This window comes from Homo sapiens, chromosome 9 (genome assembly GCF_000001405.40).
Source record: "Homo sapiens chromosome 9, GRCh38.p14 Primary Assembly".
Lineage (NCBI taxonomy): Eukaryota > Metazoa > Chordata > Mammalia > Primates > Hominidae > Homo > Homo sapiens.
In genome coordinates this window covers 129,209,716-129,224,327 of record NC_000009.12, presented here as the reverse complement: position 1 = coordinate 129,224,327, position 14,612 = coordinate 129,209,716, and positions in this window count along the sequence as shown.

Below are 14,612 nucleotides of genomic sequence, written 5' to 3'. Positions count from 1 at the left end.
CTCAGCACTCAGCACTGGGCCCAGCACACAATGTGCTGGAGAAACACCTGGGGCAAGAATGAATCCTAAAACACAAATGAAGAAGTGGTATGTGTGTGGGTGAATCCATGAAGAACCAACAGATGAACTCAGAGCCCACCCTGAACAAAGAGAGGCCCCAGCACCCTGCCTGGGCCCAGGGACCGCTGTGGGGGCCTGGTGAGAGGTTGGTCCTCTGCCCCTCTCAGGAGCCCACCCAGACATGAAGCAAAAGGCCTGGCCTCGGGTTGGGTGTGGTGGCTCACGCCTGTAACCCCAGCACTTTGAAAGGCTGAAGCAGAAGGGCCTCTTGAGGCCAGGAGTTCGAGACCAGCCTGGGCAACATAGCAAGACCCCAGCTCTAATATAATGAATTAATTAATTAATTTAAAAGGCCTGGCCTTGGCCCTGGGATAGGAACCACTCAAGAGCCCCGGCAGCCCCTCAGCCACGTGTAGAGGAGAGAGGGCAGCTGGCTCGGGGCCATCTGTTTCCACAAAGACAAGGCCACTCCAATGTCACACGGCAGGAACTCAATAAATACTTGCGGAAGGCAGGAGGGAGGGAGGAACTGAGAGGCCCTTCTGACTCCAGCACCACAGCAAAGGGCACCGGCTCTGGGCAGGCGGCTCAGGCTCAAGGGCTGGCTTCGCTTTCCTGGCCTGGAGGCTGCAGGCCACCTCGCCGGGGCTCTGGGACTCCAGAGCCACTGAAGTGCCCTCTCCCACAGCCACCTAGGAACCCGAGTCCCCAACTCCTAGGATCACAGCACCACATGGGCCATTTGTTGAGCATTGTGCCAGGGCCTCTTCCACGTCATGTGACCCACAAGTGACACCACATTTGTGACCCCTTCTCACAGATGAGAAAACTAAGGAGTTAAAGAAGCAGAGCGGGCCGGGCGTGGTGGCTCACGCCTGTCATCCCAGCAATTTGGGAGGCCAAGGCAAGTAGATCACCTGAGGTCAGGAGTTCGAGACCAGCCTGGCCAACATGGCGAAACCCCATCTCTACTAAAAATACAAAAATTAGCCGGCGTGGTGGCGCGTGCCTGTAATCCCAGCTACTTGGGAAGCTGAGACAGGAGAATTGCTTGAACCCAGGAGGTAGAGGTTGCTGTGAGCCGAGATCGCATCATTGCACCCCAGCCTGGGCAACAAGAGCAAAACTCTGTCTCAAAAAAGAAAGAAAAAAAAAGCAGCAGCAGAGCGACAAGTCCCAGTTCAGAGACGGGGACACACACCTGGGAAACGGCGGCCTCAGAGGGGACAGGGAGGAGCACTGAACAGCTGCTCAAGAGCCAGGGTCGAGGCCACCAGGAGACTCCAAGCCTCAGGGGTCCGCCTGACTCTTGTCCTCGCAGTGAGTCCACTGAACCATTGAGGACCAAGCTACATCCCAGAGAGACTCGGGGAAGGGAGGGGGAGCCGGGGAGCAGGCGGGAGACAGGAGTGCGTTCTGGGCTCTAGAGATGGGAAGGAGACATATCCTGTGCCCAGCGGTGGGAGCAAGTATCAGAGAACGGCGGTCCTAGACATTGTGACAGGGACGTTGACTGGAACCTGCACGCAGTGCCCGAGCTTTGTGCTCTCCCGTGCACTGCCTCCCGTAAAGGACAAGAAGTACACAGGTGGGGGCAAGGGGTTGAGATGGGAGGCAGTACAGTCACTGGGCAGCTGGCAATGGGTTTTCAGGCACCCACTCAAGAGCCTAGATGTTCTTCAGTGGAGGCCGGTGAGGCTTGGGTTCATTTCAGAGGCCACCCTGGCCCTGCAGTGCGGCGGGGTCCCCGTGCTGGGGGTGGGGTTCAGAGCTGAGTTAAGACCACAGGATTTAACATGCCCGACTCTTGAGGTTCTCGGTGAGAGGTGAGGTCCGCCCTCCAAGGCAGGTGGGGCTGGCGGCTCAGGGAGGAGAGAGCCCATCCCTGGGATCGATCAGCTTCTGAAAGGAGGCGCCAGGCCCAGAACCCTGCCCTGGCCCACAGAGACCAGGCTGCCACCCACCCTCCCAGCAAGGGCTGAGCTGGGCTTTCCCAAAAGAGGGAAAGGTTTGAGCTGGGTGACCAGGCAGGTCCCATCCCCACCGCCTCGGGGTCTCAAATTTCAGGATGCAAATTTCAGGATGTGAGGGCACAGAGTAAGCAAGGAGGTGAGAGAGACAGTCTCGTTCGAAATACAGGTTCCCAGGCCCTTCCTGCAGAGACTCTGATCCCTGGGCCACAACCCAGGCCCGGGAATCTGCATTTGACCAGCAGCCCAGGTGACTCTGGCACAACAGGTCTGGCAGAGGGTCACTGCTCTATTGGGGGAGGGCTTCAGCCCTGGAGCCTGATAGATGTGGGGACAAGTCCCTCCTCGCCCCTTCCCTGCTATGTGGCCTTCACCCAATCATCTTCCCACTGGTGCCACTTGCAGCCAGTTAGGAGAAGCAGGTGTGTGCAGAAGTTAAAATATTAAGAAATGTGGCTGGGCGCAGTGGCTCACCCCACCTTGGGAGGCCTAGGAGGGAGGATCATTTGAGGTCAGGAGTTTGAGACCAGCCTGGCCAACACAGTGAAACCCCATCTCTACTAAAAATACAAAAATTAGCCAGGTGTGGTGACAGGCGCCTGCAATCCCAGCTACTCAGGAGGCTGAGGCAGGAGAATCACCTGAACCTGGGAGGCAGAGGTTGCAGTGAGCCTAGATCGTGCCTTTGCACTCCAGCCTGGGTGACAGCAGAAGATCCCATCTAAAAAAAAAGAAAAAAAAAAAGCTCAAGCTCCCAGTCAACTACCTGGGCTTCTACCCAAGCTCTGCTCTCACTGCCTGTGGCGTGACCTTCGGTGGCTTCATTAAGCTCTCTTTGCCACAATTTCCTCCTCTGCACAGGGCTGCCCCCAGGGGTGTTATAAAAACTACATGCGTGCCAGCACCCACCAAACACTCACTCAGTGGATGACTGTGCTTGTCCATACACTCCTGACTTCTCTCTGCTTCTGTCCCAACGCCGAGCAGCCCAAGGGATCCTGTTAAACCCGGTGTCCATTGGGTCATGCCCCACCTGACAACTCCAAGTAACCTCCTCTTTCTCATTGTGCCCCCAGGAGCCATGCACTCAGCTCTGCCCACCGCCCTTCCTTCTGCCAGGAGCTCTCGTAGGTTTGAAGGGTCTCATCCTTCAGGTCTCAATTAAAATATCAGTACCTGTCAGTGCTGAGTTTTCAATACAAACGGTATTTATAGTTACTTACAGCTGCCTAAGAAACTCGGAAAGATTATTTAAAAACTAAGGACAGTGATTCTTGAGATAGGGCACCACACAGCAGAGGGACGGAGGTGAGAGCGGGGCCTCTGTTTGTGGTTTTTATTCTATTCTGGGGTTTTGTTTTGTTTTGCTTTGTTTAGATAGAGTTTCACTCTTGTCGCCCAGGCTGGAGTGCAGTGGCACTATCTTGGCTCACTGCAACCTTCACCTCCTGGATTCAAGTTATTCTCCTGCCTCAGTCTTCCGAGTAGCTGGGATTACAGGTATGTGCCACCATGCCTGGCTAATTTTTGTATTTTTAGTAGAGACAGGGGTTTCACCATGTTGACTAGGCTGGTCTTGAACTCCTGACTTCAGGTGATCCGCCCTCCTTGGCCTCCCAAAGTGCTGGGATTACAGGTGTGAGCCACTGTGCCTGGCCTCAAAAACATGGGTTTTGAGCCATGTGAATGCACTATGCAAATAAATGGATGCATTTTTTTAAAGTCATCTTCTTGGAGAGGCCTTCCCTGGCCAACCCTTTTTTTTTTTTTTTTTTTTTTTTTGAGACATGGTCTTGCTCTGTCGCCCAGGCTAGAGTGCAGTGGCACAATCTTGGCTCACTGCAACCTGCATTTCCCAGGGTTCAAGCGATTCTCCCACCTCAGCCTCCCGAGTAGCTGGGATTACAGGCGTGTGGCACCACGCCCAGCTAATTTTTGTATTTTTTGGTAGAGATGGGGTTTCGCCATGTTGTCAGGCTGATCTCGAACTCCTGTCCTCAAGTGATCCGCCCACCTCAGCCTCCCAAAGTGCTGGGATTACAGGCATGAGCCACCACGCCTGCCCCCCCGCAACCCGGCTTTATTTTGCTCCATAATCTTATCCCTAACTGCCGTCGTGCTGAGCACGTATTTGACTGAGTGCCGCGTGTCCCTTCCATTGGAATAGGACTCCAGTGAGCGAAGGGTCATGCCTGGCTCCCCACTGCGGACACATCTGAATCAGGGAGTCCAGGCCAGAGGTGCTTAACAGATCCCTGCAGGGGCGTGAGAATCATCACAGAGCCACTCCCATCAGCCCAACTCTGTGCACCTACAGGCACCATCCGGAGTTGGTTGATGTTGCACCCAGGATCGGGCCACAGACACTCAATCAATGTCTGTTGAATGAATAAAGAAATAAATGTTTAAAGAGCTTTGAACAGATGGACACACTCCTTCCAGAGGGACAAAGCTTTTTAAGAGAAAAACACTCAGAGACAAGCTACTGGCATAGAAGAGAGGCTATGCTCTGCACAGGGTGGCTAGTATAATTCTTACTAAAGTGTGAATGACTTACCCCAGCAGGAGAAAGAAGTGAGGCCAGAAGAGCCCCAAGAAAAGAGGAAGGAAATGATTCTAGAGACACAAAATTCCTACCTGGAAATTTTTTTCCTTTTTCTTTTCAAAGAGTCTCTGTCCACATGGGTCTCCTGTTGCCTATCCCCCTCCTCCCCCTAAAGTAAGACATCCCAAACTGGGGTCAAGAGCCTCCATGAGGGAAGTCACAGGCGCAGACCAGTGGCCAGGCCCCCAAAGGTCCACCGTGGCCACATCTTGGTTGAGGGGGATCAGAGAGTAAAAGCCTCTCTCCGCCGCCATCTCCAGGGCTCCCCCAGGCCCTGCTTCCAGCAGCCCCCAGAGGCCACAAACATGCGGTGGAAAGAATTTGGCCTCTGGAATCTGAGAGCACTGAGTCCTGTTCCAGCTCCTGACCTTCCAGCACATTCTATGCCCCACTGTCCTTCCCCGCTCCTTTATATGCCTGGTCTTATTTCATCATCACGTCTTTCAGGAGCGGCTGCGTTATTGCCCCATTTCACAGCCGAGGAGGTTAAGGCTGGAGAATCACCTGCTCAAGCCCCCGCAGTGACTGTGTCCAAAGCCAAGAGCCACACTCAGCCTGTCTGTGCCTATCCCCGCAGGGTACTGCTCCAGGCCAGTTCCTCCACCACGAGCCTCAGTTTCTCTGTCTGTGAAATGGGGGTAATGGAGGCTCCTTTTCAAGTTTATTGCAAACATTTAATCACTTCTAAAGTGACTCACAAGGCCAGGCACGGTGGCTCACACCTGTCATCCCAGCACTTTGGGAGGCTAAGCCAGGAGCCCACAAGTTCAAGACCAGCCTGGGCAACATAGGGAGACCACATCTCTACAAAAAATTTAAAACTCACCCAGGCATGGTGGCATGCACCTGTGGTACCAGCTACTAGGGAGGCTGAGGCAGGAGGATCACTTGAGCCTAGGAGGTTGAGGCTGCAGTGAGCCATGACAGCACCACTGCACTCCTGTCTAGGCAACAGAGCGAGACCCTGTCTCAAAAAAAAAATGTGACTCGTGGAAAGGTGTGGCCCCAGGAGGGGCTAACCAAATGTTCTTTTCCTTCCCTTCCTGGGGGAGCCCGCATCAGTCTTTTGCTGTGACAGCATCATTTTTCTGCAACTGTGCACAGGTCACCTCCTCAGTTTTCCTGGTGTGGGTGGAATGAGGATGGCAGGGGAGGCTGAAAGCAGGAGGCACAGGTGGGGGCTGCTCGGAGGACCCACAGGGGTGTAGTGCCCAGCACGGGGACGGCACAGGGGAGTCAAGGGCAGCAAAGATTTGCCTGTCTGCCAGACCCTGTGCCACCCCGTCACCGCAGTGGCATGGCATCCCCTGCCATCAGTCCCCCAGCAGGGCCAACGAGCATCTCACAAAGGAGGGGTGGAGGAAGAGGAAAGGCAACCCCCATCTTTTGTTTCTTCCTCACAGTGTTGTTGGGTGTGTGTGTGTGTGTGTGTGTGTGTGTGTGTGTGTGTGTGTGTGTGTTTTAATTCCAGCCACTCTGTGGTCCCATCCGGGGCCTCCTGCCTCCTCCCATCTCTTTGCTGGTGGCTGTCACACGACAGACATTTTTAGTGGTGACAGCTGGCCTTGTGGAACTCGGCTCGAGTACGGGAATGGTTTTTAAAAAAAGAGTGAGCCAAACCACCGCCACTTTAAATAGCAATGCGGCGGGAGGAGAGGCAGGGAAGCGTGTGCAGGCAGGGCTCACAGCCGGCTGGGAGCCCATGTGCACGCGCGGAGGCTTTGATGGAGGAAGGCCTAAGCCGCGAGGACCCAGGAGGTCATGGGTCCTACCTCTGCCTTTGACTCAGGGAGAAACCGAGGCCTGGAGAAGGCGGATGTTGCACCCAAGATTTTACAGGCTTGTGGGTGGCAGACCAAGGACTCACACCCAGGCGTGTGTGAGTGAGTCTAGTACCAAGCCGTTCCCTGACAGCACCCGGCCTCCTGAGTCCACCTGCCCTTTCCTGACCTTGCAGAACAGAGGCCGCCCCAGAGCCTCTTTTGCCTGCCCACTGCAATGGAGGCCTGTGCTGCAACGCGGCAGCATGGGGCAGAGGCCCCCCGGGGCCTGGAAGACACCATGGCCTCCTTGGAGAAATTCAGTTAACATTTGCAAAGAACCACAGTCACAGGCCCAGATTCCAAGGGCTTCCCAAGCATCCCTGGGCCTTCCACATTTGTAGCTGCCTGTCCGACCCACCCTCCAACCAGTCAAACTCCAGGGCTGGTCACTCCCGTCCACACCACATTGCCTTTACTGGCTTGAAATCAACCCCGGCAGGAGTCTTGACACCATAAAAATCAGCACGTGCTACAAAACAGGCTTTTGTTCTCTTAAGCGAGCTGGTTGTTGTACACTTACCAGCGCACAACTACCCAGGCCTGAGGGGCTGAGTTCCAGTTTCACAGACAGATCATGAGCACACACTCCAGAGTCCAGCAGGTCTGGTTCAAATCCCGCCTCTTCCACTACTCACAGTGTGAACTCAGGCAGCTCCCCTTAGCACTCTGAACCTCCTCTGTAAAATGGGGATAAGGGTAGAAGGGTACCTTGGTGTGAGAAATAAATGTAAAAATGCTTGGAGAGGCCGAGTGTGGTGGCTCACACCTGTAATCCCAGCACTTTGGGAGGCCGAGGCAGGTGGATCATTTGAGATCAGGAGTTCGAGACCAGCCTGGCCAACATGGTGAAACCCTGTCTCTACTACAAATACAAAAATTATCTGGGCGTGGTGGTGCATGCCTGTAATCTCAGCTACTTGGGAGGCTGAGGCAGGAGAATCGCTTGACCCCAGGAGGCGAAGTTTGCAGTGAGCCGAGATTGCGCCACTGCACTCCAGCCCAGCCTGGGGGACAGAGTGAGACTCCATCTCAAAAAAAAAAAGAAAGAAAAAAGAAAAGAAAAGAAGATATATAGAGAGCCTAGCTCCCACCTTAAATGGCAGCCATTCTTATGATGCCCGAGGTGACATGGCTCCAGTCCCCTGCCCACCAGGTCTCCCCTCTCTGGACATACACCCCTTTGCTTTTGCCATTCCCAAGAGGCCACTGATGCTCAGCCCAGCACAGCACATGCCAGTTTGACCCAACCTGGGAGAGGAGCGGATGCACCCCTTCCTTGTTCCGGAGATGGCATCTCTCCTAGTGGAACCCCAAGATGAATTCCGCAGGCTTCTGCCACCACCTCGCTTCCTATGCCCTGTCCAGCTCTGTTTTCTCCATGGCACACCCTCAGTCCCGTCGTATCTGTTGGTTTGATGCCCACCTTCCCCCTCACCGCCAGAATGTGGGCTCCCTGAGGGCAGAGGGTCTGCCCAGCATCCGCAGGGTCCAGGCCAGGGCCAGGCACACCATGAGTGTGTGAATCACAACCTCAGCGGGCACCAGTGCGCCCCGGGGCACCTTAGCCAACTGACAGTCTCTACGTGCCAGGTTTCAAAGCAACCTGCAAAACCGTGGGTGATGCTCAAAACTAGAGAAGGGAGGCCAGGTGCAGTGGCTCACGCCTGTAATCCCAGCACTTTGGGAGGCCGAGGCGGGTGGATTATCTGAGGTCAGGAGTTTGAGACCAGCCTGGCCAATGTGGTGAAACCCCATCTCTACCAAAAATACAAAAATTAGCCAGGCGTGGTGGTGGGTGCCTGTAATCCCAGCTACTCGGGAGGCTGAGGCAGGAGAATCGTTTGAACCCAGGAGACGAAGGTTGCAGTGAGCCAAGATTGCGCCATTGCACTCCAGCCTAGGTGACAAGAGTGAAACTCTGTCTCAAAAAAAAAAAAAAAAAAAACTAGAGAAGGGAACCATGAAGTAGAAGAGGAGGACAGGAGAAGAACGAGGGAACGTGGGGACTTCTGTAACCTGGGGAATCTTAGCCGGAAGACACACCTCGATATGCCCTCCTTTGCTGAGAACCTACTGGGCGCCTCTTGTTTGATCCACACAACATCCTGGGAGGTGGATTTTTGTTTTATTTGTTTTGTGGGGGTGGGTTTGAGACAGGGTCTCGCTGCTGCCCAGGCTGGCGTGCAATAGTGCAATCTCAGCTCACTGCAGCCTCGACCTCCCTGGGCTCAGGTGATCCTCCCACTTCAGCCTCCTGAGTAGCTGGGACTACAGGTGCACACCACCATGCCCAGCTGATTTTTTTTTTTTCGTAGAGGTGGGAGATTTCACCACCCAGGGTGGTCTCAAACACCTGGGCTCAAGTGATCCGCCCGTCTCAGCCTCCCAAAGTGCTGGGATTACAGGTGTGAGCCACCGCGCCCAGCCGGGAGGTGGATTTTCTGTCTCCCCTAACGCCACTTTACACGGAGTCTCAGAGAAGTGAATACACTTGCCCAAGGTCACACAGTTGTAAGTGTGGATTCCAGTATTTAATCCAGATCTGACCCAGAGCATGTACACCTGGTGTTAATCATCCCCAGCCCTGCCCAAGAGAGTCATCCAACATCCAACTCAAGAGAGTCAAAGAGACAGAGCCAGCCAGGCGCGGTGGCTCACGCCTGTAACCCCAACACATTGTGAGGCCAAGGCGGGCAGATCACCTGAAGTCAGAAGTTCATAGACCAGTCTGACCAACATGGTGAAACCCTGTCTCTACTAAAAATACAAAAATTAGCCAGGCGTGGTGGCGCATGCCTGTAATCTCAGCTATTCGGCAGGCTGAGGCAGGAGAATCACTAGAACCCTGGAGGCAGAAGTTGCAGTGAGCCGAGACCATGCCATTGCACTCCAGGCTAGGTGACAACAGCGAAACTCTGTCTCAAAAAACAAAAAAAGAGAGAGAGAGAGCCTATCTCACCATGAGGGAGATTCTGAAATTGGCATGGGAAGTAGGGAGATCTCCATCACTGGAAGGATTCAAGCAAAGGTTGAGGAACCCCCAGAGATGGACAGGATGGCAGGCTTCATGCATGGGATGGGGGTGAAGGAGAGGGACATTAGGGTCTCCATGCTGAGAGCTTTCAGTTCTCTGAGTCATGTCCCAGGCTGTGAGCTATAGGCAATGTTTCTATAGGTAACACAGTTAGCCTGTGCTTCAAGGCTTAGAAGAGAAAAAATAATCTTAATGAGTTAAATGAATGTGTCAACGTGTCGTGTTATACATTGAGAAACATTTACTCTACTCTTACACTTATTTTGACGGACTCTCTCTTTGTCGCCCCGGCTAAAGTGCAGTGGTGTGATCTCGGCTCACTGTAGCATTCACCTCCCAGGTTCAAGCCATTCTCCTGCCTCTACTTCCAGGGTAGTTGGGCCTACAGGTGTGCGCCACACCCAGCTAATTTTTTTTTTTTTTTTTTTTTTTTTTGTATCTTCAGTAGAGACAGGGTTTCACCATGTTGCCCAGGCTGGTCTCCAACTACTGGCCTCATGTGATCCACCCACCTCAACCTCCTTAAGTGCTGGGATTACAGGCGTGGGCCACCACATTCGGCCGTGTTTAATAATATCTCATATTGTATAGAGTTATTCCATGCCCCACTCTAACACGGGTATTTTAATACATTAAATTTGTAACTTTAAATATATGATCTCATTTAATCCTCAAACAATCCTGGGTAGTGAGTGCTATTATTATACATGTGGAATGGTCAGGTTTCTGCCATGATAAGACTGTGTAACAAACAACCCCACCAAGCCAGTAGCTTGCCATGTTTATTTCCATCTCTCATAGGCCTGTGGGTCAGCGGGGGTGGGTCATTCTGTGGGTCAGCTCGATTTCGCTGCAGGCCACGGATCAGATTCGGGTCAGCTCCATGAGTCCCTCTTCTGGAACCATCAGCTACCTGGGACACGTTAGTCTTGTAGCACATGGGAGAAGCTCAAACCACCAAGCCAAAAACCCAGCCATATTTCAAGCCTATGCCTTTGGCACATCCACTAATATCCCAAGTCACATGGCCAAACCCACACTTCAGCGGGGTAGAGAAATATGCTCTGCCTACTCCAGTGGGAGCTACTGCAAAGTCACACGGCAAAGCGCATGGGTGTATAATTCTATTCCAGGAGGGAATGAAAATTGGGAATAATATCCGATCTACCCCAAGAGGTTGCACAGGTGAGAATCCAGGGCCTCACACCACTGGCTCAAGGTCACATAGCTGCTTTGTGTGATTCTGCCTGGGATTCTGACCCAGATTGTCTGACATCCAAGCTGCTCAGCCCCCACAGGCTGCCGGGCAAATACCTGATACATAATAGGTGCTCAATAAATTATCAGTTCATTATTAAAGTGTACACTTCAATCTGCCATTTATCGCAAGCCAGTTACACCTCCATGACCTGTTAACTTGTCTTTAAAAAGAAACTTTAAATGAAAAAATGATCAGTTTAATAAATGAAATGTTAGCATCTGGTGCAAGACTTGATTTTGAAGATTAGCAGAGGGTGGAGTTCAGTGTCCACAACCAGACACCAGGCAGGCTTAAGGAACCCACCTAAGGGCTGGGGTTATGGGGAGCACATAGCAGGCCTGACAGTGAGGCTGCCCCCTGGAGAAGAGGTCAAGGGAGGGCTTGTTCTTCTTCTTCTTTTTTTTTTTTTTTTTTTGGAGACGGAGTTTCGCTCTTGTCACCCAGGCTGGAGTGCAACAGCGCGATATCAACTCACTGCAACCTCTGCCTCCCAGGTTCAAGCGATTCTCCTGCCTCAGCCTCCTGAGTAGCTGGGATTACAGGCTCCTGCCACCACGCCCAGCTAATTTTTGTATTTTTAGTAGAGCAGGGTTTCACCATGTTGGCCAGGCTGGTCTCGAACCCCTAACCTCAGGTGATCCACCCGCCTTGGCCTCCCAAAGTGCTGGGATTACAGGCATGAGCCACCGTGCCCAGCCAGGGCTTGTTCTTCTTAAGAGGCCAAGGCTGAGAGAGAGCCAGTGTGGTAAGCACGGAGAAGGAGCAGCTGAAGTGAAGGAGAAACGCCCACTGCCCGCTGGAACCTGCACCAAACATTCCCGTACACTGAGGCAGGGGAGATGTACACCAATCAGCCAGGTGAGCTCGGGGCAGCCTACAGGGTTCAGGGGAGAAAGTCAAGGCCGCAGCTCAAGTCAATTCCAATAAGACATCTGCCCTTTCATCTCCTGGACGGCAGCAGAGACCAGTGGTGAAAACAGTGTGGGTCTAGCCCTAGCCCAGCAGGGCCCTTCTAATCCTTCACTTTGAGACCCAGAACTCAAGTCACAGGTTGCCTAGGAACCTCAGCTTCCTCCTTGGTTAAGAAAAGGAGGCAGGGGCCAGGTGTTGCTCATGCCTGTAATCCCAGCACTTTGGGAAGCCAAGGTGGGTGGATCACCTGAGGCCAGGAGTTCGAGACCACCCTGGCCAGCATGGTGAAACCCCATCTCTACAAAAAAAAAAAAAAAAAAAAATTAGCCGGGCACACAGTGGCTGAGGCATAAGAATCACTTGAACCCAGGAGGGGAGGGTGCAGTGAGCCGTGATCACGTCACTGCACTCCAGCCTGGGTGACAGAGCAAGACTCTGTCTCAAAATAAATAAATAAATAATGAAATAATGAAATAAAAGATGGGGAGTTTCTCTCTAGGAATATTCCAGCTAATAGTCGAAGAGGGAACAGTAGCACGGATTCTCTCCATTTTGCAGCCCCTCAAGAACTCACAGGTCCAGGAGATGATCTTCAATATCCTGCAGCCTCCCCAGAAAGGACAAACCGGAGGACAGCCCCCCCTCCCCGGTGGGAGGGCGCCCTACTACCTGCGACGTCATCTTACCAAACACAGCATACCTGAATCTGATCAAGCCTCTCCACCAAATGCCAATCTACAGGACATACAGGGAGCACAGATGCAGTCACACACCACCCCGGGGACAAATCCAGCAGGATCCAGACTGAGCGAGCTCTCCAGGACAAATACAAGGCAGAAACATGGAGCAGGAAGTCTGTCTAAGAGGAGATGTAAATGACTTCTCAATCCATTGCAGTGTGTGGACCTGATTTAGACCTGGCTCAAATGCAGATAATTACATATGACTGGGTGTTTTATATATGTGACATAATATGCAATCACCCAATAAACACATAAATATAATTATATATTAAATGTACTCTATAAATAAATAAATATGTGTTTATATATTAAATATAAATGAGAAGTCAGAGCATTGGCAATTCGATGACACTGTACAGGTGTTTTATATCTATAATGATGTACGAATATGTTTACACTTTTGAGAAATGTGATGATATTGATTTGGTTCTTTAGGTATTGTAGCGATGTATTAAGTTTGAAAAGCTCTTATTTTTTAAAGCTACACACTGAAGTATTTCCAGATGAAACAATATGTCTGGGATTTGCTTCAAAGCAAACAGGGAGAGGGAGAAGGTGGGGACAGAATGAAATCAGACTGATGGGGAAGGATCGTTGGTGCAGTGGGTGATGCCACATGGGGTTCATTATATTATTCTCTCTATTTTTGGTCAGTGCTTGAAATTTTCCATAATGAGATGTTAAAGCTAAATAGCTCACATAATAGGCCAGGCATGGTGGCTCACGCCCGTAATCCCAACAATTTGGGAGGCCGAGGCAGGCGGACAACCTGAGGTCAGGAGTTCAAGACCAGCCTGGCCAACATGGTGAAACCCCATCTCTACTAAAAATACAAAAATTGGCCAGGCGCGGTGGCTCATGCCTGTAATCCCAGCACTTTGGGAGGCCGAGGCGGGCAGATCACAAGGTCAAGAGATCGAGACCATCCTGGCCAACGTGGTGAAACCCTGTCTCTACTAAAAAAAAAAAAAAAAATACAAAAATTAACCAGGCATGGTGGCACGTGCCTGTAGTCCCAGCTACCCGGGAGGCTGAGGCAGGAGAATCACTTGAACCCAGGAGGTGGAGGTTGTACCACTGCACTCCAGCCTGGGCAACAAGAGCGAAACTCCGTCTCAAAAAAAAAAAAAAATTAGCCAAGCATAGTGGCGCACGCCTGTAATCCCAGCTACTCGGCAGGCTGAGGCAGGAGAATTGCTTGAGCTCAGGAGGCGGAGGTCACAGTGAGCCAATATCGCACCATTGCACTCCAGACTGGGCAACAGAGCCAGACTCTGTTTCAAAAAAAAAAAAATAGCTCAAATAATAAAAAGTTTAGGAAAAGATGCTTTTTTTTCATTTTTTATTGTGATAAAATACACAAAACATAAATGGTTAGGTCCAGTTCAGTGGCATGAAGCATATCCACATTGTGCCTCTATCACCACCATCATCTCCAGAACATTTTTCATCTTGTAAAACTGAAAATCTGTCCCCATTAAACTCTAACTCCCCATTCCCCCTTCTCCCCAGCTCCTGGCACTCCCCATCCTACTGTCTCTATGAATTTGACTACTCTAAACACCTCACATGGGTGGTCTTGCTTTGTGGCCCAGGCTGGTATTGAGCAATCCTCAAGCAATCCTCCGTCCTTGGCCTCCCAAAGTGCTGAGATTACAGGCATTAGCCACAGCACCTGGCTAATATTTGTCCTTTTTTGATGGGCTTATTTCACTCAGGTACTCAAGGTTCACCCAAGTCGTAGCATGTGTCAGAATGTCCTTCCTTTTTTAAGGGTGAATCGTGGCCGGGCGCCGTGGCTCACGCCTGTAATCCCAGCACTTTGAGAGGCCGAAGAGGGAGGATCACTTGAGGTCAGGAGTTCGACACCAGCCCCTGGCCAACATGGTGAAACCCTGTCTCTGCTAAAAATATAAAAATTAGCCAGGTGTGGTGGTACATGCCTGTAATCCCAGCTACTCAGGAGGCTGAAGCAGGAGAATCACTTGAACCCGGGAGACAGAGGTTGCAGCAAGCTGAGGTCGTGCCACTGCACTCCAGCCTGGGTGACAGAGCCAGACTCCGTCTCAAAAAAAAAAGGCTGAATCGCATTCCATTGTATGGCTGGGGCACATTCTGTTTACTCGTTCACCCATCAGCAGACACGTGGGATGCTTCCACCCTTTGACTACTGTGAATAACACTGCTATGAAAACAGGTGTACA